Source organism: Homo sapiens, chromosome 5 (genome assembly GCF_000001405.40).
Source record: "Homo sapiens chromosome 5, GRCh38.p14 Primary Assembly".
In the NCBI taxonomy this organism is placed as follows: domain Eukaryota; kingdom Metazoa; phylum Chordata; class Mammalia; order Primates; family Hominidae; genus Homo; species Homo sapiens.
In genome coordinates this window covers 38,267,928-38,291,942 of record NC_000005.10, presented here as the reverse complement: position 1 = coordinate 38,291,942, position 24,015 = coordinate 38,267,928, and the positions used below count along the sequence as shown (strand labels likewise).

Sequence of the window (24,015 nt, the reverse complement as noted above, 5' to 3'; positions counted from 1 at the left end):
GTTACTTCTTGACGCAGAGCTCTGCAGTGCAATAGAAATCTAAAAGCCATTCTTCAGAAACATGTAAGCGAGGAAGAGCCAGGTGGAATTTCCCTCTTCGGTCCATGCCATTTTTCTTAGACTATGAAAAGTGCAACTCTGAATACCAGGTGACAGCCCTGAAGAGTTGCTTCCTTTTTCTAGCCCTGAACCAAACAAAGCCAAAGGTTTTTGTCACCTCCTAATCATTAGCAATCCTTGGCATATGGCTGAGAGTGTCAGGTTTCTGGGCAATTTTCCTTAAGGTTAATTGCATTCTCTTTGTCATGTCATCAGAATTGAGCAAACCATTTTCATTCCACTTCTATTTCTAATGGGAATAATGACAGGTACACATTTCCAGATAAGACACGTGGAGACACGTGGAGAGGAACCTGCTGCAAATTGCTGGAAACCACCCTGCCCTCATGAGTCAGCTCCCTCTTCTGTTCCTACTCAGGAGTGGAAACTGCAAGTGGCCACACAGATGCCAGAGGTTGGGTGAGTAGAGAAGCTGGTAGTGGTGCAGGAAGCAGAGAAACAGAAAACCTTCTCCTCCCCAAATCCAGACTTCAGTGTGACCTTTGGGAAGGTCAGCCAACATGGGCCGAAAATGAAATGAATATGCATATGGATATTGTGTGCACATTTACAGTCATATTTACCTGCCTTATTCCACCAAATATTTGAAGCAACTTAATAAAATACAGTCCATGCCCCCAAGGAGTCTACAGTCTAATCCAGAAAAAGATCTCTAAGTGTATCCCTGCTATGCGAGACACCACAGAGTGAGTGTGGCAGGAGCATAACTGACCCCTGCAGGGTTTTGTTTTGTTTTTTTTGGAGACGGAGTCTCGCTCTGTCAGGCTGAAGTGCAGTGGCGCTATCTCGGCTCACTGCAAGCTCCGCCTCCCGGGTTCACGCCATTCTCCTGCCTCAGCCTCCCCGAGTAGCTGGGATTACAGGCGACTGCCGCCACCACGCCCGGCTAATTTTTTAAGTATTTTTAGTAGAGACGGGTTTCACCGCGTTAGCCAGCATGGTCTTGATCTCCTGACCTCGTGATCTGCCCTCCTCGGCCTCCCAAAGTGCTGGGATTACAGGCGTGAGCCACCGCGCCCGGCCGACCCCTGTAGGGTTTTAAAGGAGAGAGGCAGCATCCCAGAGGGCAAAAAGGGCTTCATTCATGGAGAAAGCAACTGAGCTGGGCAGAGCACAGACGGAATTTGAATTGGAGGCCAGAGGCAAAGGGAACTCCAAGTGGAAGAAGAAACGGCATGAAAAAAGGGATTGAGAAGGAAAAGGACAAGATGGTTTGGAGAGAGGTCAGTAATCCATTTTTTTTTTGGTTAGAGCACAGAGCTATCTCCAGTAGTAGCAAGTAGTAAGAGGTCAGGGTGAACAGATAGTGGGTTTTGGAACAAGACTGGGTTTAAATCTTGCTCACTGCACTGTTCTGTAACATGTGCTGTCAATGCTCATATCCTGTCGGGGTTATCGGCACAGTTCCAGAAAACTGAAGCTTCCTCGCCTCTGCTTATGGGTATATCCTGGCTGACAGCTTGTGCTTGGCTACTGTGGCAGGGCAGGTGGACTTGCTGGGGAGTTAACATCTCAAGAACAAGTCTCAACCAAGGAGGGATAGGAATCGGTGGAAAACTAGTCCAGCTCCTTAGCCCACAGTGCGGAGCGCTGTTCTACAGGCTCTCAGAGGGTCTGCAGCTGTGCTGAGCCCCAGCTGCTCACAGTGGTGACTCACTCATCACATTACTGACCCTCTACCCCGACCCTTCCTTGGGCTTCCTGGCACCCAAGTCTTCATCTCTGTGGTCTGATTTTGGAAAAATCCAAACTAAGACACTCTTTAATGCTCAGTTTGCTCATCTGTCAAATGTGGGTAATAATGTCCACCTGAATAACTGTTGTGAGCTAAGATAATGGGTATAAAGAACCTAGCAAAGTGCCTGACAGAGTAAGTGCTTCACAAATATTGGCTATTCATTAAATGTTAGAGATCCTTACATTCTGGGCTGTTTGATAGTGGGAACTGCCAAAAGACTTTAAGTAATGGAGTGCTTTGAGGAGACTACCGTGGCCTTCCTTAGAGGACCTTGGCCTTCTTTGGAGAAACTTAGTCTTGAATGCAGGACCCTGGCCTTCCTTGTATATCCCTAGTCTTCATTATAGAATTCTTGCCTTCAGTGTAGGATATCCGATATCCATTTCTCCATGCGTTCCAAGCCCATGAGAGGTTTACATGTTTCTGCCATGTGACTCGTTCTGGCCAATGGTTGTGAGTGGAAGTTAGTGTCATTTCTTGAACAGAACATTTGTCAGTGTGAGATCCTTCTGTCCACTTTCCTCCTCTATCAGAAACTGACAAAATTCTAAGTAGTGGAGCTTGGGTCACTCAGTAAAGATGCTTCAGAGATCAGTCTCTTATAATCTACCATGGCAGTGTAGCATGAACCACATTTGTTTCAAGCCATTGAGGTTTGTGGCTGCTTGTTGCTGCAGCATTATCTAGCTTACTCCGACTAATACAGATGGGTATGAATCAGAAACACTGAAAGTAAGCTAGTTAGGAGCCTATTACAGGTTTCAAGTAAAAAGAATCTGAAATAAGACCTGGAAACTGAAATGTGGGGGCGGGGAAAGAAAGAGTAATTGCCAAGGAAGAAGAATTAGCAGGTAGAGAAGGAGAGGAAAGGAATTAAAGATGACTCCAGGATACAAGCTTAGCAAACTGAAAGGAAGATGATATCATAAAAGAAAGAGGCAAGAGTAGAGGAAGAGGGGTGTCAGGGAGGCTGGTTTGCTATGAGACCTGAGTTTAAAGAGGTTCTGCTTTGTACCACCAAAGGAAGACTTCCTATTCCCACTCCCCCATAAGGGCAGGAATTGGATTAATAAGGAGATGAGCCACAGAGGGTTTCTCTAAGGTTACCCTCATAAAAGCATGTGGTGATCACAGACCCAATTATAGGACATGAGGGTGGGGTAGCTTCTACTTGGGGCTTGCTTCTACCTTATAACACAGTGCTTTCCCTACCACTCAAAACCACCCCAATATTGAAGAAACAACACATGTCTGGTCTACAGAGCCAGAGAAGCAGTTGCTCAACAATTTGGTTAATTTAATATTGTCTAGACAACTGAAATATGTAACTTGTTAAAGAAAAAACAAATATTTGTTATCTCCTTTCTTATAGTCTGAGAGTCTTTTACCACAAGAAAATTAGCATTTAGTCTGTCCTAAGCTTCATTATGTAACTGAACAATACCACTTCTCTCCAATAATTGGTAAGAGACCTATATTTTCTCAGCTCATGAACCAAAGCGTTAGGAGCTCAAAACTCCACTCTCAAATCTTAAATGTGAACTATTCAGTCAAACTCTTGGCTATTATAAAGTTTTATGAAATCATTTAGTTTTTCTAGTTAAAGTACAATTGTGAAAGGAGGGCCTTCTATTTGATCAGATGGCTAGAATAATAATATGCATAATAGATTATATCACAGTGGAGACCCTATCTTTCCTGGCAATATGTTTTTTCCATTTTCCAGTTTTGAAACTGACCACCTTTCTTTCATAACCCCAAAAGTTACAGCTATTTTACTAATTATATTGAAAGTCCTAGAAGATGTCATGAAAATTGGATAATACAATAAAACAGCCTTACCACATATTAAAGCCCTTTTATCTTTAACAGTTTTTTTAAATCTGCAGACCATCTAACCTGTGCAGTGAATTTTCATTTATATAAAACTACATTAATAAAAATCTATATTAAGAAATTACACTGAAAAAGCAGTTCATAATGTACCTTTCAGCTTTATAATTAGTTCTGTAATCTGTAATCAGATGATTTAAATCTAATATAGTTAAATTACAAACTAAGTAATTTCTATTTCCAACAGGAATCATTATATCTTTGGAATTTTCCAAAGCGTTAATGGGTTTCAGAGAAATTATTATATTTCTCACTCACTGTGTTCCCAGAAGTTAGCACAATACCTGGCATATGGTAATTAAATAAACAATTGCTAAATGAATACACAGATATGTAAACATTAATGACTGATTAGCAAAATCACGTTGATTTGTCATTGCCCCACTTAGGGCATAAAAGATACTCATTTCCACATCTCAGCTTAGAACATGGATCAATTTCCTTCTGACTGGTTGGGAGTTCATTCCAACTAGATGATGCCTCTGCCTTACCAGTCATTAAATAGAAATATGCTTGTCTTGGCCAGGAGCAGTGGCTCACACCTGTAATCCCAGCACTTTGGGAGGCCGAGGTGGGCAGATCACTAGAGGCCAGGAGTTTGAGACCAGCCTGAGAAACATGGCGAAGCCCAATCTGTACAAAAAATACAAAACTTGGCTAGGCATGGTGGTGCACACCTGTGGTCCCAGCTACTCAGGAGGCTGAGGCAGAAGGACTGCTTGAGTCCAGGAGGCAGAGGTTGCAGTGAGCCAAGATTGTGCCACTGCCCTCCAGGTTGGGCAACAGAGTGAGACCTCATCTCAAAAACAAACGAAAAAAAAAGGAGGGCTGCATTGAACCTACTGCCAACTAGGCTCTGTGCTAGGCACATATACGCCTTAACTCATAGTAGCATTATATGCCATAAACCATAAAACCCCAAAAGGTAAATGATTTATCCCCATTTTACACATGAAAGAAAAAAACTGAAGCTCAGGAAGATTATGGAAACTGACCAAGGTCACAAATCTAGGAGGTAGGATTGTAAAGTACATCTACCTGGCTTCAAGATCTATTACCTAGAACTAATCACATTGTTAGCAACAGTGATCTTGGGAGACAAGAATTTTGTAAACCAAAGTGCCATACAAATACAAAGCTATTGTTATCATAATCTGTCAATTTCCTGTGTTTCTATCATTGCCCTCATAGGCCCTCTTGTCTGAAGTTGATGAATACCATTTAATATATCAGTCAAGTACTTTATTTTGTCAGGGCCCTGTGGTAGGCTCTGGCCAGGCCTGCTGTGTTCAATCCCCTCTCAGTCTGTTTAGATTGGACATGACTGCCTGCGTATATTCACACATTGGTCACCATCTCATAGACGCAAAGTCGCTATTCAGGAGTGATGTCTACTCACTATTTTATAATCTGTGTAAACTATAGCAAGATGGTGCCGATGGCAAAGTATCCCAAACTCAGATATTCAATCCAGAGATATAGCTTCATAATGGCAATATATCTACAAAAGGTAAATTTACTGGAGTTTCAAAGTGACATGGCTAAGGATGACATAGGCTTGGTAAACTCCTACCTAGGGCTTTCCATGCCCTGACAAAACCTCATTCCTGGCAGGAAGTCCACCATGACCACTAAGTCAAGCATTTTTTTCCTTGAGGAGCTGGATAATTTGGGAAGGTGTGCTCACATCTTACTTCCCCTAGGCTGATACCTCCTGATACATTTTGCTGAGAACCTATCATGTGTGCTCATTGGAATCGACTATAAGATGTAAAAGATTTGTGTGTCAGAGTATTCACTTGGGTCATGTCTCCAACCCTCCTTCTGTAGAGCAACTTCAGCCTGGAAAAGCAGAAATGAGATGCGGCCAAGAAAAAGACTCCAGCCCAGCCTGCCTTGGTTCTAACCCTGACTGTTACTTAACCTCTTTCTGGCTCAGTCAAGAAACTTGAGCACTGCAAGATGATCATGTGGAATACCTACTTCAAACGGATGTTAAGAGGAGTAAAAGTGTTCTTGTTTCTAAGTGCTTGAAATGCAGCTGGCATATAATTAAGCTATGCAAATATTTACTTTTTTTTTTTGAAATGCTGAGTTTACTGATCACTCTAATTTTTACATATGTGTGTCATTACAGAAGATTCAGGCTTTAGCGATGACTGGAGGGTCATTCGCTGGAAAGAATTTCATCAGTTGGAACTAAATCATGGTGAGCAAAAGAAAGTCTACCTAAGTGATATGGTTTGGCTCTGTGTCCACATCCAGATCTCATCTCGAATTGTAATTCCCACAAGTTGTGGGACGGAGGTGATTGAATCATGGGGGCAGGTGCCCCAATGCTGTTCTGGTGATAATGAGTGAGTCCCCAAGAGAACTGATGATTTTATAAGGGGCTCTTCCCCCTTCACTTTCTCTTCTCTCTCCTGCTGCCTTGTGAAGCAGGTGCCTGCTTCGCCTTCTGCCATGATTGTGTTTCCTGAGGCCTCCCCAGCCATGCAGAACTGTGAGTCAATTAAAACTCTTTTCTTTATAAATTACTTAGTCTCTGGCAGTTCTTTATAGCAGTGTGAGAATGGACTAATACACTAAGTTACTTCCTGAGTAGACCAATGGCCTCCATTCCCTCTGTCAAACATACGACACTGACCCTGAAGGTAGCTTGGGCTGGCTGGGGATGCACTCTCTGTATGGCCCTGGTGCATCACCTCCCCCACCCACTTCCACCCTCCCTGCTAATGTGGAGTGTGTGTAGAGTGCACAGTTACAATGAGGCCGTTGTGACAGTCCTGGTCACTGTTTTGATCACATGATTTTTTATTTTGTAGATGAATGAAATACAAGTACAACAAGAAAAAGTTTCTGTAAAAACTAAGGTGATTGCTTTAGAATAACTCCATAAAGGTCATTCTGAAAAACAATTGCTGCAACTCTAAAAGATGGGGAAATCTAGAAGCATTCTGCACTTTGATCATGCACTGGGGCTGCAGTTTGTGCTTGAAGGATTACCAAGAACTCCAATTGGTGGGCTCTCATTTTTTTAAAAAAGTTCCCATTGCTATTTTGAAGTGAAAAAATATATAATAAAATCTACGTGAATATCATCCCCTTAACTTCTACAATCAACTAACAAATCCAAATTGGACTCGACAAGAGAGTTTCTACTGTAATTATATGAAAATAGTTGCTCTTGATAACAATTGAGTCTTGTTTTTTCTTTATAACAGAGCTATTGTCACTACTTTAAAATATGAGCAGAATGGGGTATGGATCAGGTCTATAAAGCTTTCTGTTTATGTATTTTGAATATACATAGTTATTATTGCCTATTATCTACATCAAAATGGAGAGTTTATTTGGTGATGTCTTTATCTTCTCAAGATTATTTACAATTAGAGTGACTCCAGCAACTACTGAAGCTAACTCCACTGCACTTTCTCTAGTGGCAGCATACATTTCAACCATTACAACAACCCAGTCTTTGCTGGTGCTTGAGAATTGAATCAAGCTATTTGCCAGGAAACAAGAGAATTTCAGCAGGAAAAGAGAATGTTCACAATGTCAGTGATGAATGAGGAGACCATAGAGCAGGCAAACAAAAGAAAGCAGCAGGCCTGCTGGAGCTCCCTATCTGAAGGCTTGGGTTTCCAGCACTCTAAAGCAGGTTCAGCAAACCACAGCCCATGGACCACATTTGGCCCTCACCTTGTATCCATAAATAAAGTTTTATTGAAAAGCAATCATGCACATTTATTCACATATAGCCTGTGGCTGCTTTTGCTCTACAATGGTGGAGCTGAGTAGTTGCAAGAAAGACCCCGTAAATAGAAATAAAAGTGAACAAAATATGTATTGTCTGACCTGTTACAAAAAAAAGTTTGTTAACCCTGGCTCTAAAGAATCCATTCTATACAAGGCAGAGCTCTATTATGAGGTATGACTGTAACTGTGTTTTAAAAAAGTGTTCTGGAACCTTGCCACAGTAGATTAATTCCTCAAGGTTATCCCCAACAATGAGAGGCAAGCCAAGTGATTAACTAAGCCACTGACACTGTCCTATGACACAAATTTCTCCTCTATCTCCCCTTCAGTAGTGCCTCACTTTGGAGTCGGCTGAGAAGATCATTCCAGACGGGAGTTTTGACACTGTACAAATGCACTGTCTTCACATCTACGCTGACACCCCTGCCTTTCTACCTGCAGGTGTCTGTGGCTTACAAGCTGGTGCCTCCCACAGACCCTGTAGTTTGGAGCTAATGAAGAGCTGAGAAGGTAGGTTTGGCTGTGACTAGAGAGCAGGAACAACCTCTCCACAGGTCATTCCTTTCTCCAGGCATGGAACCGTCTTACAAACCTGGGCTGAGGGTTCATTGCCTCTAAATGTAGAAGCAAAGACTAAATTCAAAAGGCAAGAACTACTTAATGAAAACAGAAACTCCACTACATACGTGTTTCTTCTGCCTATCCCATGGAGTCAGAGAGGTGGTGGATCTAGCAGAGACAGCTGTAGACCAGGGGTCAGAAGACTTGGGTCCTCATCCTGATTCTACCACTAACTAGCTGCATGACCTCAGACAAGTGACTTGTCTGCCCTAGACCAGGCAGGGTTGGACAGTTAGCCCCAAAGTCCCTTCTAATGCTAAAATTCTAAGATTGTACCCTGCCAGCCTTAGGAGGCTATGCTGTTACTACCAGTGCCTGGCACATAGCAGGCACTATATAAATGTTAATTATCATTATTATTATGTAAAGGCACAATGCATGCCTTTATATGTAAACGTGGATTCTTCCCCATTATAACAATGAATGATCTAGAAGCAAATTATAACAACAGGGTATAATCATAAGCAATGAAGACTGTAATTCCTACCGGTCTTCTTCTCAGCACAAATGAATAAAGCTTTTCCCCCCTCCCCCTCCAGTAATTGTTGGAGGTGGTTCTTGGATCCAAATCCCAAGCCCTTCCAGAATATCTGCAATTGGAGAACGGGTCATTCAATCAAAAGACTGTAGACTGTACTGTGATGTAAATTTTTTTCTTCCCCACTGAAAATCCCAGGCCAGGCATGGTGGCTAACACTTATAATCCCAGCACTTTGGGAGGCCTAGGTGGGCAGATCACTTGAGCTCTGAGCAATACAATGAGACCTCGTCTCTACTAAAAATTCAAAAACAATTAGCCTGGTGTGGTGGCACATGCCTGTAGTCCCAGCTATTCAGGGGGCTGGGGGCTGAGGTGGGAGGATCACTTGAGTCTGAGAGGCCAAGGCTGCAGTGAGCCCTGATTGCACCACTGAACTCCAGCCTGGGTGACAGAAGAAGACCTTGTCTCAGAAAAAAACAAACAAGCAAACAAACAAAAAACTCAATGCAGGTTGGGAATGAGAACTGGGATTCAGGATTTGGAGTTTCCTAATATATTTTGCCTTCTTCCCATGATATATACAGTGTATAAACCTAGTATGAGGAAGGAACAGTTGTCTATCAAAATGGTAAATGGCATTCAGTCTTAAGTTTCTAAATAAAGTTAGCAATTATGGGTATGGCCAAATGTGGGTGCTTGCCATAACCTCTGGGGCCTCACCATTTCCAGCTACCAGGATCTGCAACTTTTTGCCTGAGGGTTTTCTCAGAAGACACAGAAACTGTTCTGCCTATAAGCCTTGAAGTGCCAGGGAATTAACACCTACCTTCCCACAGCCCTCCCCACAGTGACTGATAGCATTGATAACGATACCCAAGCTTCACCCCTCAGGTGGGATAACTGAGCTGCTTGTTCTATACCATGTTCTAGAGTTTCTCCCATGAGTTTAGGTTCTAATCATCCACATGTAAATTGCTTGATAAGAAACCTTCATTGACTCCTTGTCTCACTTCCCCTCCCCTTATTTGTTTTGTTTGCACCTTTCAAATAAACTATTTTCATTCAAATCTTTGTCTTAAGTTCTGTTTCTGGGAAATCCAAACTAAGACAATGGAGGTGACCTAATTAATTCTAAATTTTTAGTTTGACTAATAATCATTTTCAACTCTACTAATCAGTAAAATAGGAAGTATAAGATACAGCCAAGAAATCAGAAGAGTCTAAAACATATTGAGACCATAAATATCAGCAAAAAGCTAAACCTAAACAGAAGTGGGAAAGAATCTAAGCTTACAGTGATCTTTCCCTTTAGGTAAAACTCACTAAAGTAATATGAGGTTAGTTTGGGTTCATGATGACTCTCAAGAGATGAAGAATTATCTTCCCTTTATTTCATTTGTGTCCAGAAACCTTTAGATTCTTAGAATTATTTTTCCAGTTAAATTATTTTTATTAGAATAAGTAGAACAATAAAATAACTTTATCTTCTTTAGCAGCTACAGTGTATCAAGCACAGTCAATTTATTGTTGGCCAATCTTACAGAATCTGCAAGTCTTGTGTAGTAAACCCATTTTATTGGGAGAAGGTGGTAAATCATGTGGAAGGTTAATTTTCTGGCCCCATTTCACCTAGCTAGTAAAGATAGAGTCCAGATTCAAATACCTATCAGTCCCCTTCCAAATGTCATACTCAATTTCCCCGTGCCACTTCCACAAAAGACATATGGCTATTACCATCAGGTACAAGAGGCATTGAGACTGAGAAAACATAATATGACACATTACTATAATTATTATATGATTAGAGTTCTCAGATTTAGCAAACAGAAACACAGAATGTCCAGTTAAATTTGAACTTCAGATAAACAATGATTTCTTTTTTCGTATAAATATGTCCCATGCAATATTTTGGATAGCTCTACATTAAAAATTATTTGTTTGATCCAATGATTTTTTTTTATAAAATTATTTGTTGTTTATCTGAAATTCAAATTCAGCTGGGCATCCTCTATTTTATCTGGCAACACTAGATATGGTGCTTAGCTTATCTCTTTATTTAGTTCATACTTTAATCAAAACTTAGCATAATATGTGTAACAGGACTGTTTTTAAAAATATTTGTGGTAAAAGAACCTAAGAAGATCTGCCCTCTTAACAGATTAAGTGTAAAATACAATGTTGTTGACTCTAGGCACAAGGCTGTATAAGGGATCTCTAGAACTTATTCATAGAACTTCTATTGAGTCCTGGAAACCACTGCAATCATTTCTCAACACCACACAGCTATCCCTATGTCAGTCTTAACATCCCCTTATCCAAGTGGTCAGATTTGGGCCCAGGGGTAGCTCATCCTCAAAGATCATGGTTTCTCTTACACTATAGTTACTGCATGAATTTACAGCAGGCATCCTTCAGCTAGATCAGACCTAATTCTCAGAGAGTTCTGAATGCAAACTAAACACAAATCAAAACCTTATGCTTATGCCTAAGGAGGAACATATAAATAGGCATGTATTACAAAGCAGTAGTACCAAAGGTATCAATTAGGATCCCAGCAGGAAGAGGAATTTACCTAATCAAAGAAAGATTTCAATTAGAAAACTACTTACAGAGGTGTGAGCAGCTTTAAGGAACAACTAGGGACACTGATGCACCCAGAGACCAGAACCAATAAGACATTGTTACTACCCAGGGCCAAGAGTGCAACTGGAGAGTGGTGTCACGGAGCCAGCCAGAGTTGGAAGCCATGGTGGGCCAGGGGCTGTATGTAGTTGTAGAGAGACACAGCTGTGGCCAGTGAAGCTGTACTAAAGGAGAGAGGAATCGGGGGGAAGTGGGGAAAAGAAACAAATTCTCTCCCCTGCTCTCATTTGATCTCCTTTAGGTGCCTCCCATTGGCTAAACCCAAAGAAGCCAGGGGGCAAAGGAGTAGGTGATACAGCTAGTGAGGTCAGGCCCCATAGAACACTGAGCAGGGCAGAGAAGAGCTGACAGTAACTGTGGAGTGAAGAGCAGGACAATCGTAGCAAACCCACCAGTACGTGAGTGCACGGCAGAACATGCCGGAAACTCACTATGGGTAAAGATTTGTAGTCATTTATGTTTTCAAACTGGTAGTTTCTTTTGTTGGTAGTTCATATTTTTCCATCATCACTTTATTATAAAAATATTCAAGCATACAGAAAAGTAAAAGAATTTTTGAGTGACTATGTGTATATGCACCAACTAGCAAAATCTATACTGGCTTTATTATATATCTATCCAACAATCTGTCCCTCTCTTCATCATCAGTATACCTTGTTTTTTTAGCTTCTTTAAAATTTTTGTTAGTTGAAAGATCAAATTGTGTGTATTTATTATGCACAACATAATGTTTTAAAGTATATATACATTGTGGAACGGTTAAATCTAGCTAGTTAACAAATGCATTACCTCACATAGTTATCACTATGTTAGGCCCACTTAACATCTACTCTTAGCATTTTTCAATAATACAATATATCATCATTAACTATACTCAGCATGCTGTACAATAGATCTCTTGAGCTTATTCCTATCTAATTGTAGTTACGTATCCTTTAGCCAGCATTACCCTAACTCCCTTCCCCACTAACCACCCAGCCTCTGGTTACCACCATTCTAATCTCTAGTGCTATGAGATCAACTTTTTTAGACTCCACATATGAGTGAGACCATGTGGTATTTGTTTTTCTGTGCCAGGCTTATTTCACTTAACATAATGCCTTCCAGGTTCATCCATGTTGTTGCAAATGATATGACTTCCTTCTTTTTATTATGGTGAATAATATATCATTGTGGATATGCGCCACATTTTCTTTATCTGTTCATCTGTTGATGAACTCTTAGGTTGATGCCATATCTTGGCTAGTGAGACTAGTGCTGTAATAAACATGGGAGTGCAGATATCTCTTCAAGGTACTGATTTCATTTCCTTTTGATATATGCCCACTAGTGGGATTGCTGGTTCATATGGTAGTTCTATTAATTTTTAGATAAAGCTCCATACTGCTTTCCATAATGGCTATACTAATTTACATTCCCACCAATAGTAAATAAAAATTCCCTTTTCTCCACATCCTCACAAACACTTGTTATCTTTTGCCTTTTTGATAACAGCCATTCTAGCTGGGGTAAGATGATATCTCATTGTAATTTTGATTTGCGTTTCTCTGATGATTAGTGATATTATTGAGCATTTTTTCATATTCCTGTTGGCCATTTGTATGTCTTCTTTTGAGAAATGTCTATTCAGATCTTTTGCCTACTTTTTAATTGTGTTATTTGTTTTCTCACTATTGAATTGTTTTAGTTCCTTATATATTTTGGATATTAGCCCCTTATCAGATATATAGTTTGCAAATATTTTCTCCCATTCTGTATTTTGTCTGTTCACTCTGTTGAATGTTTGTTCCCTTTGATGTGCAGAAACTTTTAGTTTGATGGATCCCATTTGTCTTTTTCCTTTTGTTGGCTGTGCTTTATCCCAAAAATTACATCAAAAAAAAAAAATCATTGACCAGAGGCCAGGCACGGTGGCTCATGCCTGTAATCCTAGCACTTTGGGAGGCCAAGCCAGGTGGATCATTTTAGGTCAGGAGTTCAAGACCAGCCTAGCCAACATGGTGAAACCCCATCTCTACTAAAAGTACAAAAATTAGCCAGGTGTGGTGGTATGCACCTGTAATCCCAGCTACTCGGGAGGCTGAGGCAGGAGAATTGCTTGAACCCAGGAGGCGGAGGTTGCAGTGAGCTGAATTCGTGCCACTGCACTCCAGCCTGAGTGACAGAGCAAGACTTGTCTCAGAAAAAAAAAAAAAAATCATTGACCAGATCAATGTTATAGAGCTCTTTGCCTATGTTTTCTTCTGGTAATTTAATAGTTTTGGGTCTTAGATTTAAGTCTTTAATCCAGTTTGAGTTGATTTTTGTATATCATAAGAGATAAGGGTTTAATTTCATTCTTCTGCATGTGGATGTCCAGTTTTTTTTCCTGGCATATTTACTGAATACACTATCCTTTCCCTAATGAGTGTTCTTACCACTTGTGTCAAAAATCAGCTGGCTATAAATGTGTGGATTTACTTTTGGACTCTCTATTCTGTTCCACTGGTCTATGTGTCTGTTTTTATGCTACTACCATGCTGTTTTCATTACTATAGCTTTTTAGTGTATTTTGAAGTCAGGTAGCATGATGCCTCCAGCTTTGTTCTTTTTGTTCAAGATTGCTTTGGTTATTTGGGGCCTTTTGTGGTTCCATACAAATTTTAGGATTTTTTTTTTCTATTTCTGTGAAGAATGTCATTGGTATATTGATAGGGATTGCAATGAATCTGTAGATTGCTTTGGGTATTATGGACATTTTAACAATATTCTTTCTTCTAATCTGTGCATATTGGATATCTTTCCATTTATTTGTGTCTTCTTCAATTTCTTTCGTAAATATTTTATAGTTTTTCAGTGTAGAGATCTGTCACCTCTTTGCTTAAATGTATTCCTCAGTATTTCAATTTTTGTATCTATTATACACAAGATTTTTTTTGACTTTTTCAGACAGTTTGCTAGAAATGCTACTGATTTTGCATGTTAATTTTGTATCCTGCAACTTTACTGATTTTTATCAGTTCTAACAGTTTTTTAGTGGCATCTACGGTCTTCTCTATACATAAGATCATGTCATCTGCAAAGAGGGACAGTTTCACTTCTTCTTTCCCATTTAGAGCTTTTTATTTCTTTATCTTGCCTAATTTCTCTGGCTAGAACTTCTAGTACAATGTTTAATAAGAGTAGGGAAAATGGACATCCTTATCTCATTCCAGATCTTAGAAAAAAAGCTTTCAACTTTTCCTTGTTCAGTGTATTGGCTGTGGGTTTGTCATATACAGACTTTATTATGTTGAGGTACATTCCATCTATGCCTAATTTGTTGAGACTTTTTATGGTGAAGGAATGTTGAATTTCATCAAATGCCTTTTCTGCATTTGTTGAGATGATCATACAGTATTTGTCCTTCATTCTGTTAATGTGAGGTATCACATTTATTGATTTGTATATGTTGAACCATGCTTGCATCCCAGGGATGAATCCTACATGATCACGGTGAATGATTTTTTAATACACTGTTGAATTTGGTTTGTTAATTTTTTGCTGAATATTTCTGTATTCAAGTTTGCTGGGGATATTGGCCTGTAGTTTTCTTTCTTGTTATATCCTTATCTGATTTTTGGTATCAGGGTACTGCTAGCCTTGTAGAATGAGTTTGGAAGTATTCCCTCCTCTTAAATTCTTTTAGAGGAGTTTGAGAAAAATAGGTATTAGTTCTTCTTTAAATGTATGGTAGAATTCACTAGTGACACCATCAGGTTCTGTGCTTTTCTTTGATGGGAGACTTTTGATTACTGACTCAATCTCCTTACTCATTATTGGTATGTTCAGATTTTCTATTTCTTCATAATTTAGTCTTGATAGGTTGTATGTGGCCATTTATCCATTTTTTCTAGATTGTCCAATTTGTTGGTGTATAATTATTTATAGGAGTCTCTTGTGATCTTTGTGTTTCTGTGGTATCACGGTAATACATCCTTTTTCATCCTGATTTTTATTTATTTACTCTTCTCTTTTTTTTCTAGTCTAGCTAAAAGTTTGTCAATTCTATTTATCTTTTTTAAAAAAACCAACTCTTTGTTTTGTTGATCTTTTTATTGTTTTCCTGGTTTATATTTCATTTATTTCTGATCTAGTCTTTATTATTCTCTTCCACTAATTTTGAGTTTAGTTTATTTTCTTGTTCTTCTAGTTTCTTGAGGTACAATTTTAGATTATTTAATTGATATCTTTCTTCCTTTTTTATTAGGCATTTATTGCTAAAATATTCCCTATTAGAACTGCTTTTGCTTTATCATATAGGCTTTGATATGTTGTAATTCTATTTTCATTTTTCTCAAGAAATAGTTCAATTTATCTGATTGGTTTGGCCCTGCATCCCTACCCAAATCTCATCTTGTTGCTCCCATAATTCCCATGTGTTGTGGGAGGGGCCCAGTGGGAGATAATTGAATCATGGGGACAGGTCCTTCCCGTGTTGTTCTCGTGATAGTGAGTAAGTCTCATAAGATCTGATGGTTTTAAAAAGTGGAGTTTCCCTGCACAAGCTCTTTTTGACTGCCGCCATCCATATAATACATGACTTGCTCCTCCTTGCCTTCCCCCATGATTATGAGGCTTCCCCAGCCATGTGGAACTGTAAGTCCATTAAATCTTTTGCTTCCCAGTCTCAGGTATGTCTTTATCAGCAGCAAGAAAATGGACTAATAAATTATCTTTTAATTTTTTCATTGACCCATTGGTGGTTCAGGAGCAAGTTGTTTAATTTCCATGTATTTGCGATTTTCCCAATGTTCCTCCTGTTATTTATGTCTAGTTTTATGCCATTGTGGTCTGAAAAGATACTTAACATAATTTCAATCTCCTTAAATTTGTTAAGACTTGTTTTGTGGCCTAATATATAATGTATCCTGAAGAATGTTCCATGTGCAGTTAAGAAAATTGTGTATTCTGCAACTGTTAGATAGAATGTTCTATATGTGTTTGTTAGGTTCAGTTGTTCTGGAATGCAGTTTAAATCCAGTGTTTCTTTGCTGATTTTCTGTCTGCCCATTGATGAAAGTGGGATATTGAAGTCCCTTACTATTCACATTGCTGTATTGCAATCTATCTCTCCCTTCAGTTCTATTAATATTTGCTTTCTATATTTATGTACTCTGATGTTGGGTATACATATATTTACAACTGTTATATCCGCTTGCTGAACTGACTCCTTTATCATTATATACCGACCTTTTTTGTCTCTTTTTATAGTTTTTGACTTAAAGTCTATTTTATCTGATATAAGCATAGTTACTACTGTTCTCTTTTGGTTTCCATTTGCACAGAATATCTTTTTGCATCCATTCACTTTCAGCCTATATGTGTCTTTACAGGTGAAGTGAGCCTCTTATAAGCAGTGCATAGATGGGTCTTGTTTTTCAAGCCACTTTATGTCTTTTAATTGGAGAATTTGATCAATTTATATTCAAAGTAATTATTGATAGGTACACACTTATTACCACCATTTTAAAATTGTTTTCTAGGAGATCTTTCCATCTTTTCTTACCATATTTCTTTCTGGTTAAGTAGTTTTCCCTGGTAGTATTTTTGATTCCTTTCCTTTTGTTTTTAGTGTGTATATTATAGGTTTTGCTCTGTGGTTACCACGAGTCTTACAGAAAACATCTTATAGTTATAACAGATTATTTTAAGCTAATAACAACTTAACTTTGATTGGAAAAAAAAATCTCTACACTTTAACTTCACTACCCCTCCACATTTTGAATGTTTGATGTCACAATTTACATTTTTATGTTTCATATCCCTTAACAAATGATTGTAGTTATCATTAAACAGTTGGTCTTTTAACCTTAATACTAAGGATGTAAGTGATTTATACACCACCTTACAGTATTAGAGTGTTCTGAATTTGACTGTGTACTTACTTTTACCATTCAGTTTTATACTTTCAGATTTTTTTTATTACTCATTGGCACCCTTTTCTTTCAGCCTGAGGAACTCCCTTTAGCATTTCTTGTAAGACAGGTCTGGTGGTGATAAATTTCCTCAGCTTTTGTTTGTCTGGGAAAGTCTTTATCTATCCTTCATTTCTGAAGGACAGCTTTTCTGGGTACAGTATTCTTGGTTGGCAGTTTTTTCTCCTTCAAAACTGAGTATATCATCCCACCCTCTCTTGGCCTGTAAGTGTTTTCCTGAGAAGTCTGCTGTTAGGCATATTGGAAATCCCTTATATGTTATTTGCTCCTTTTCTCTTGCTGCTTTCAGGATCCTCTCTTTGTCTTTGATCTTTGACAGTTCGATTATAATATGTCCTGAGACAGCCTTATTTGGATTTAATCTGATTAGAGACCTTTGGCATTCCTATAATTTGATATTTATATCTTTCTCCTGGTTTGAAAAGTTTTCTGCTATGATTTCTTTAAATAAGCTTTCTACCCCTTTGTTTTTCATCTACTCCCTCTTGAATGCCAATGACTCAAACATTTGCTGTTTCGACGCTATCCCATAAATACTGTAAGCTTTCTTCATTCTTTTTTCATTTTTTCTTTTTAATCCTCGCTGTATATTTTCAAATATCTTCAGGTTCACAGATTGTTTCTTCTGTTTAATAAACTTTGCTGTTGATATATTTTTCATTTTGTTCATTGTATTTTTCAGTTATAATATTTGATTTTTTAATATTTCTCTGTTAAATTTATCATTCTGGTCACTTATTCTTTTCTTCATTTCATTTAACTGTTTCTACGCATTTTATTGAAGTTCATTGAACTTCCTTAAAACAGCTACTTTGAATTTTTTGTCAGGAAGTTCATAGCGCTCCATCTCTTCAGGGCTAGTCACTGGCACCTTATTTTGTTCATCTGATGATGTCATGTTTCCCAAATTGTTCTTGATCATTTTGGTCATGTGTCAATGTCTGCACATTGATGAAGCAGATACTTATTCCAGTGTTCACAGTCTAGCTCTGTCTAGGAATGTCCTTCAATAGTAAGCCTATCTAGAGATTTTGGGCAGGTTGTCAGGGTGTGGTCCCCAAGACTGCAATTACTGCACACATTGCAGTGCGTGGGGGCCCTCTAAGCCCAGGTCTGTCACAGCCAGCACAGTGCCAAACTGAAGTCCCATGGCTGCTAAAGCTGTCACAGCACGGGCTAGAATCTCACGGCTGCTAAGGCTGCTGCAGTGCTGATGTGTAATCAAAGCCCATGGCCACTGAAGCTAGTACAGCACTGGGGCATGCCCAAAAGTCACACCTTCTGAGGCCTTCCTGTCACTAGGGATTATGTGGAGTCCAAAGCCTCTGTAGTTGGCCAGCAGTGATGCAGGCCAGAACTTGAGTCCATCTTGCAGGGGCTATGTGTTCCCATCTGGTGTAGGGATAGGTCTAGGGGCTATGTCTGTGGGTATCAGCCTGTCATCGGGCTGTGTAGGACTTCCCAGTGCTGGGTTTTACTGTGGTGAGCCCAGAATTAGAGTGCAAAGCAAACTCCTTTGCTTATTTCTCTTTCTTTCCCTCAAGTGTATGGTGTGTCTCTCCATGCTGTGCTGCCTATTGCTGGGGAAGGGGTGACATGGGTAATGTATAACTATCCTTCCTACCTTCTTCAATGTGTCTTTTCTTATTGTTATGCTATAACTAGATACAGTGGTCTCTAACCTGGTTTCTCTAGCTCTTGTGAAGTATTTTCATGCATGGATAGTTATTCAAATAGATGTTTATGCAGGGGAATGATTGCTGGAGAGTCCTATTCCACCATCTTATACCATCCTCCTCTTCTAAATCTTATTTTTTTAAATGTGTTTCAAAGTAAATTTCAGACATTGGTACATGTATCACTAATACTTCACCACTTCAAAACAATTTAGTTCATTTTTAACTGCTATTATAATGCAGGTTACTTTTAGGTTACACACAGACACAGACACAGACACACACACACACACACATACACACACCTCTCAAAAAGTCAACTGATGAATGTTTCAGTCAACTGGTTGCTTTCAATAGGACTTACCAGGAGTATTCATTTTTATCAGGCATGTTGGTTCTTAAAAAACAAAGAATGAAAAATCCTTTGCAAACACTCTAGCTTTTGGCTGCTTTGCTTTCAAGGGAATACAGAATTGATCTTCATAAGCAAGCCAGGGTCAGTACAATAAAATTGAAGAAGAATGTTGAAGAATTGGAGTACTGTTTTACTTATGATCTCACAGTTAGTTCTCATTATGGCAGACTGGTCTAGCTTTATCCTTTTCCCGCAACTTGACCTTTTCAATCATACCTCCGATGCCATTCCCACACAAGCCTCTCTTTCCTTTGGTTTTAAAGACAAATGGGGGAAGGAGGATTGTTGGACACTGGACTATTTTAACCCCTCCCCACCTACTACTTTTCAGTGTATGAGTAAATGGTATTGCCTTTGCTTCTTAGCCTCCAAAGACATTATAAAGCAAGTCTGAGGCAGCCCCATGCATTACTTCAAGCTCTACCTGTTCTCTAGGTATTGAACATGACATATTTCACAGCACAGACTCAATTAGAGTCTCCTTAAAACCCCACTATTCCAATAGCCTTTGGCAGCATGTAGGTGGGATTTAAATTATATATTGCTTCAAAGTGACTCCCTGGGGCATTCACTTCTCTGAATCATACTGAAATGTGGGTTTTCAAATGTCTGCATATGTTGTGCAAAAATGTTGGCACATGGAAGTGACACTTTTTCTGTATGAAATGAATTCAGAAGCTTGGAATAGGATCAAATTAATCACACAATGTGAAAATGTATTTGCCCCAAAGGAAGCCATTGTTTTCCATTCCATAACTGGCTGTGAAGGGCCAACCATGTGTAAGATAATCCATTAGGCAATGCAGGGGATACAAAAGTAGAGAAGTCATGGTGCTTTTCTTGAACAAGTTACAAATCTAACAGAAGACATGAGTCAAGTAGACAGATAACATAATATAAAGTAGAAAGGGAGAAGAGAGGAATGGCTTCTGGCTGGAAGAGTACACGAAGACTTCATAGAACTGGAGGTAACTGGGACATGCTTTGAAGCTTGTGTTTCCTTGGGTAGAGATAACGGAAGGATATTCCAAGGGGTCAGATCAACATGTGGATAACATTCAGCATTGGGAAAGTGAAGAGGAGGTCTATGGAATAGCAAATAATCTATCCTGGCTGGAATACAGGCATGTATTCAGTGAAGACAGGAAAGTGAGTTGGGGCTATATTGTGACAGATTTCAGAGGCCCAGCTTTAGAGTTTGGAAAGCAGTAGTGAGCCAGAAAAGAATATTAAATGCAACAGTGATAGGATTAGAACTTCATTTTGGGAAGACTATTCTGGTAGAGAGTACGGTTGAAGCAAAATGAAGGCGGAGAACACATCATAGAAATAGCATCTTTTACATTTATTCTCTTAATATCACAGTAAAAAAGTAGCTAAAGAAATTTTGATATTCTAACTGCAAATGATGTCTTTCAAGGTAGGGAGCCATGCAGCTGATGCCTGAAAAATCTATTACTACTATAGTGGCCTGATCCTTTCTTCTTGATTTTGTACAAAGTCCAAAACAAAGGTTGGGTGTTTTTATTAAACTCAAAACTGACTCCAACTCTTTCATCAATATCAATAACTTTATGACTAATATAAACACCAAAAGTCCTCATTTGAGGAAATAAACTCTAATAATTCATAATATGAAATTAAGGAAATGAAATTGTTCTCATTTCCACTTTCATGGATGCCTAAGCTCAATTATACATTTATGTCAATGTTGTCAATATTTGGGGTTACAATAAATATAGAAAAGTTAACATCTCTACCACTCTATAAACTCTATAGACCACAATGAATCTAATTAATATGCATTAACATTGGAATGCCCATTATGTACCAAATGTTTAGGTACTTTTGCAGGTATATCTTCCGTCATCATAGTTTCTCATTTATTTATCACACAAAACCTTTGTAGTAGGTATTATGAACCTTAAATTTCAGATGAAATATATAAGGCATAAAGAAACTACTCTATCTGGAATCAGACAGCAATAAATAAATTTTAAAGCTAGAATTCAAACCCAGGTCTGTCTGACTGGAGTCTTACTACAATTCCTTCAAGCTGAAGGGATGTGTATTATGGGTGTAGGTTGTGGCTAAGCTTGTCAATTACTTAAAAACAACTATCAAATGAATGCTTGTTGTTTTTTTTTTTCCAAACTAATGGTTTATTTAACTACACCAATTGGGAATTCCCAGAACATCAAAGAGATGTTTGAGAAACTAACAGAAATCCTGAGACTGGAATGATAAACCTTGAAATATGCCACATTGAAGGTCTAACAAATATCATTTGCTACTAAAAAGGATGGCTAAATTGTGGAGGGATGGAAAGCTTCAGAGTGTCATCTGGGTGGTCCTTGAGATCCCAAAAGGGTTTTCCATAGAAGACATCTGAAAAGATTTTGGGGATATCCTCCAGCTGCAACAGCTGCTTCTCAGTTGCAAACTGACCTGTAGTCATCCAGTATTTTGTAAAATAAGCCACTTTCCCCACATACCAACCAGTGAGGAGCATGACTGAAAGCTGTCCCAGGTTACTCTACAGAGTGTCCCATGACACGCATGGAGTCTTTCTAAGTGAAGCCTGGTTGAAGAGCGTGTCTTCTTGACTAGGTCCCTCCTGGCTGCAGAGCTAGACTCAAGCACATAGCAATGATCATGCTCTTATCCATTAGCTGCAGAAACACCGCTGGGTTGATGGGAAGCAACAAGGGCTAGAGGCTGGATGACCTAGGTTCATGTCCTGGCTATTTCCTTTTTGTTAAGTCATCAGCCCTGACTTCCTGGTAGGGCAAGGATTGCAAAGATCAAATGAGATCATTTTTAGAAGTGCTTTGAAAAGTGCAGTGTTTCAGGCCAGGCGCAGTGGCTCAGGCCTGTAATCCCAGCACTTTGGGAGGCCGAGGCGGGCGGATCATGAGGTCAGGAGATCGAGACTATCCTGGCTAACACAGTGAAACCCCGTCTCTACTAAAAATATAAAAAATTAGCTGGGCATGGTGGCGCGCACCTGTAGTCCCAGCTACTCGGGAGGCTGAGGCAGGAGAATGGCGTGAACCTGCGAGGCGGAGCTTGCAGTGAGCCGAGATTGCGCCACTGCACTCCAGCCTGGGCAACAGAGCAAGACTCCGTCTAAAAAAAAAAAAAAAAGAAAAGAAAAGTGGTTCAACCAACTGTATCAATTTGTTTTTGTTGAGATCAGCCCACAGCATCTTCATCTTCATCAAAGAAGGCTGTGGTGTCTAAAAAAAAGATTTTTTTATAATTTAAGAAGCAACCCTTACTGAATATTCTACCATGACTAGTCAGTCCTTTTTGTTATGGGACACAAACAGAAGGAGTTTCTAGTAAACTAGGGGTGGGAGGGACTAGAGTTCTAGTTGATATGCCTTAGAAACTCACTCTATTTAATCCACTGGGTAGTGAATTTTTGGTTGTTTTTGTTGTTGTTGTTGTTGCTGTTGATGCAGGGTCTCACTCCCATCGCCCAGGCTGGAGTGCAGTGGCAGGATCATGTTGCACTGCAGCCTCAACTTCCTGAGCTCAGGTGATCCTCCCACCTCAGCCTCCTGAGTAGCTGGGACTGTAAGTGTGCACATCACCACAACTGGCTAATTTTTTGTATTTTAGTAGAGATGCGGTTTCGCCATGTTGCCCAGGCTGGTCTCAAACTCCTGGGCTGAAGCGATCCACCCACCACCTCAGCCTCCCAATTACAGGTGTGAGACACTGAGCCTGGCCAACTTTTTTTAAAGGGATTAATTTTACCTTTTGTAAAATGTAGGAAATATATATAGTAACATATAGCACATATGCACTTACCCATATACATATTTTTGAACCTTACTGCAAACTGGCCTAAATCAATTTGACTGTTTAGTTTTTAGATTCCTTTTTAAAATTGTGGTGGCCTCCAGCAAGTAAAAGTAGATGGTAACTATTTGCTTTTCAACCAGGTTGTACACTACAACAAAAGCAAATTCCAAGTCAAATTCTGCCACGTATAAAATATCCATGGGAAAGAAGCCACGAAAATTATCATACAACCTGCTGCTGTAAATTTGGTGATGTTTCCTCTTGTCATTTCAGGAACTCCAAAGCACTGCATCAGAGACAATCTACCACATCTAGTTATTTTTCTTCCTGTGCACACTACTGAACGACATTTCCCAGAAACCGTATAGTTGGGTTAGGGCAACATGACCATATTCTGATTTGGCACAGAAAAATCTCTCACAAGACTTCTTTTTCTTTACCTCCCACCCTGGAGGTCCATTTTAAAGATGGTGGTATTATAAGATGGTGGGATTAAAGACAGAATGACTTGAGTCTTCAAGTCACCCTTTGGAGGAAGACAGCTGAGGTGGGCTTCCTAGAAAGGAACATCCACTTTGGACTTAGACTAAGTCCAAAAAATAAATTTTGTGTCAAGCCACCCAGATTTGGATTTATTACAATAGGTAATGCTAATTACCCTAATTAATACAAGCAACTGCTTGTATCTGCTGAGAGAGATACATCAATATTCTAATGGAAAAATCAACAAACCATCTTGCCGGGTGGGGCCAGGCAAATGAGTCTACTGTTGTGTGAGGGAAACACAGAAATGAATGGAGCTCTAGCTGTATTCAGCCACTCGAAAGTAGCTTGATTTCTGGAGTTGCTGGATTCTTACTCTTTGTCCACGTAAAAATAGAGGGACATGAATAATCTTT

General features: G+C 39.3%; 1 protein-coding gene and 1 long non-coding RNA gene across 3 annotated transcripts in view; one reads left to right on the top strand and one right to left on the bottom strand.

Moving 5' to 3' along the window:
- EGFLAM (EGF like, fibronectin type III and laminin G domains) overlaps window positions 1–24,015 on the bottom strand; it is a 206,922-nt gene that overhangs the window by 173,538 nt on the left and 9,369 nt on the right. The window lies entirely within an intron of this gene.
- Window positions 957–9,674, top strand: EGFLAM-AS4 (EGFLAM antisense RNA 4). The gene is made up of 4 exons (NR_046219.1): window positions 957–1,343; window positions 5,582–6,254; window positions 7,840–8,020; window positions 9,342–9,674. It is a non-coding gene; the product is annotated as an EGFLAM antisense RNA 4 (long non-coding RNA).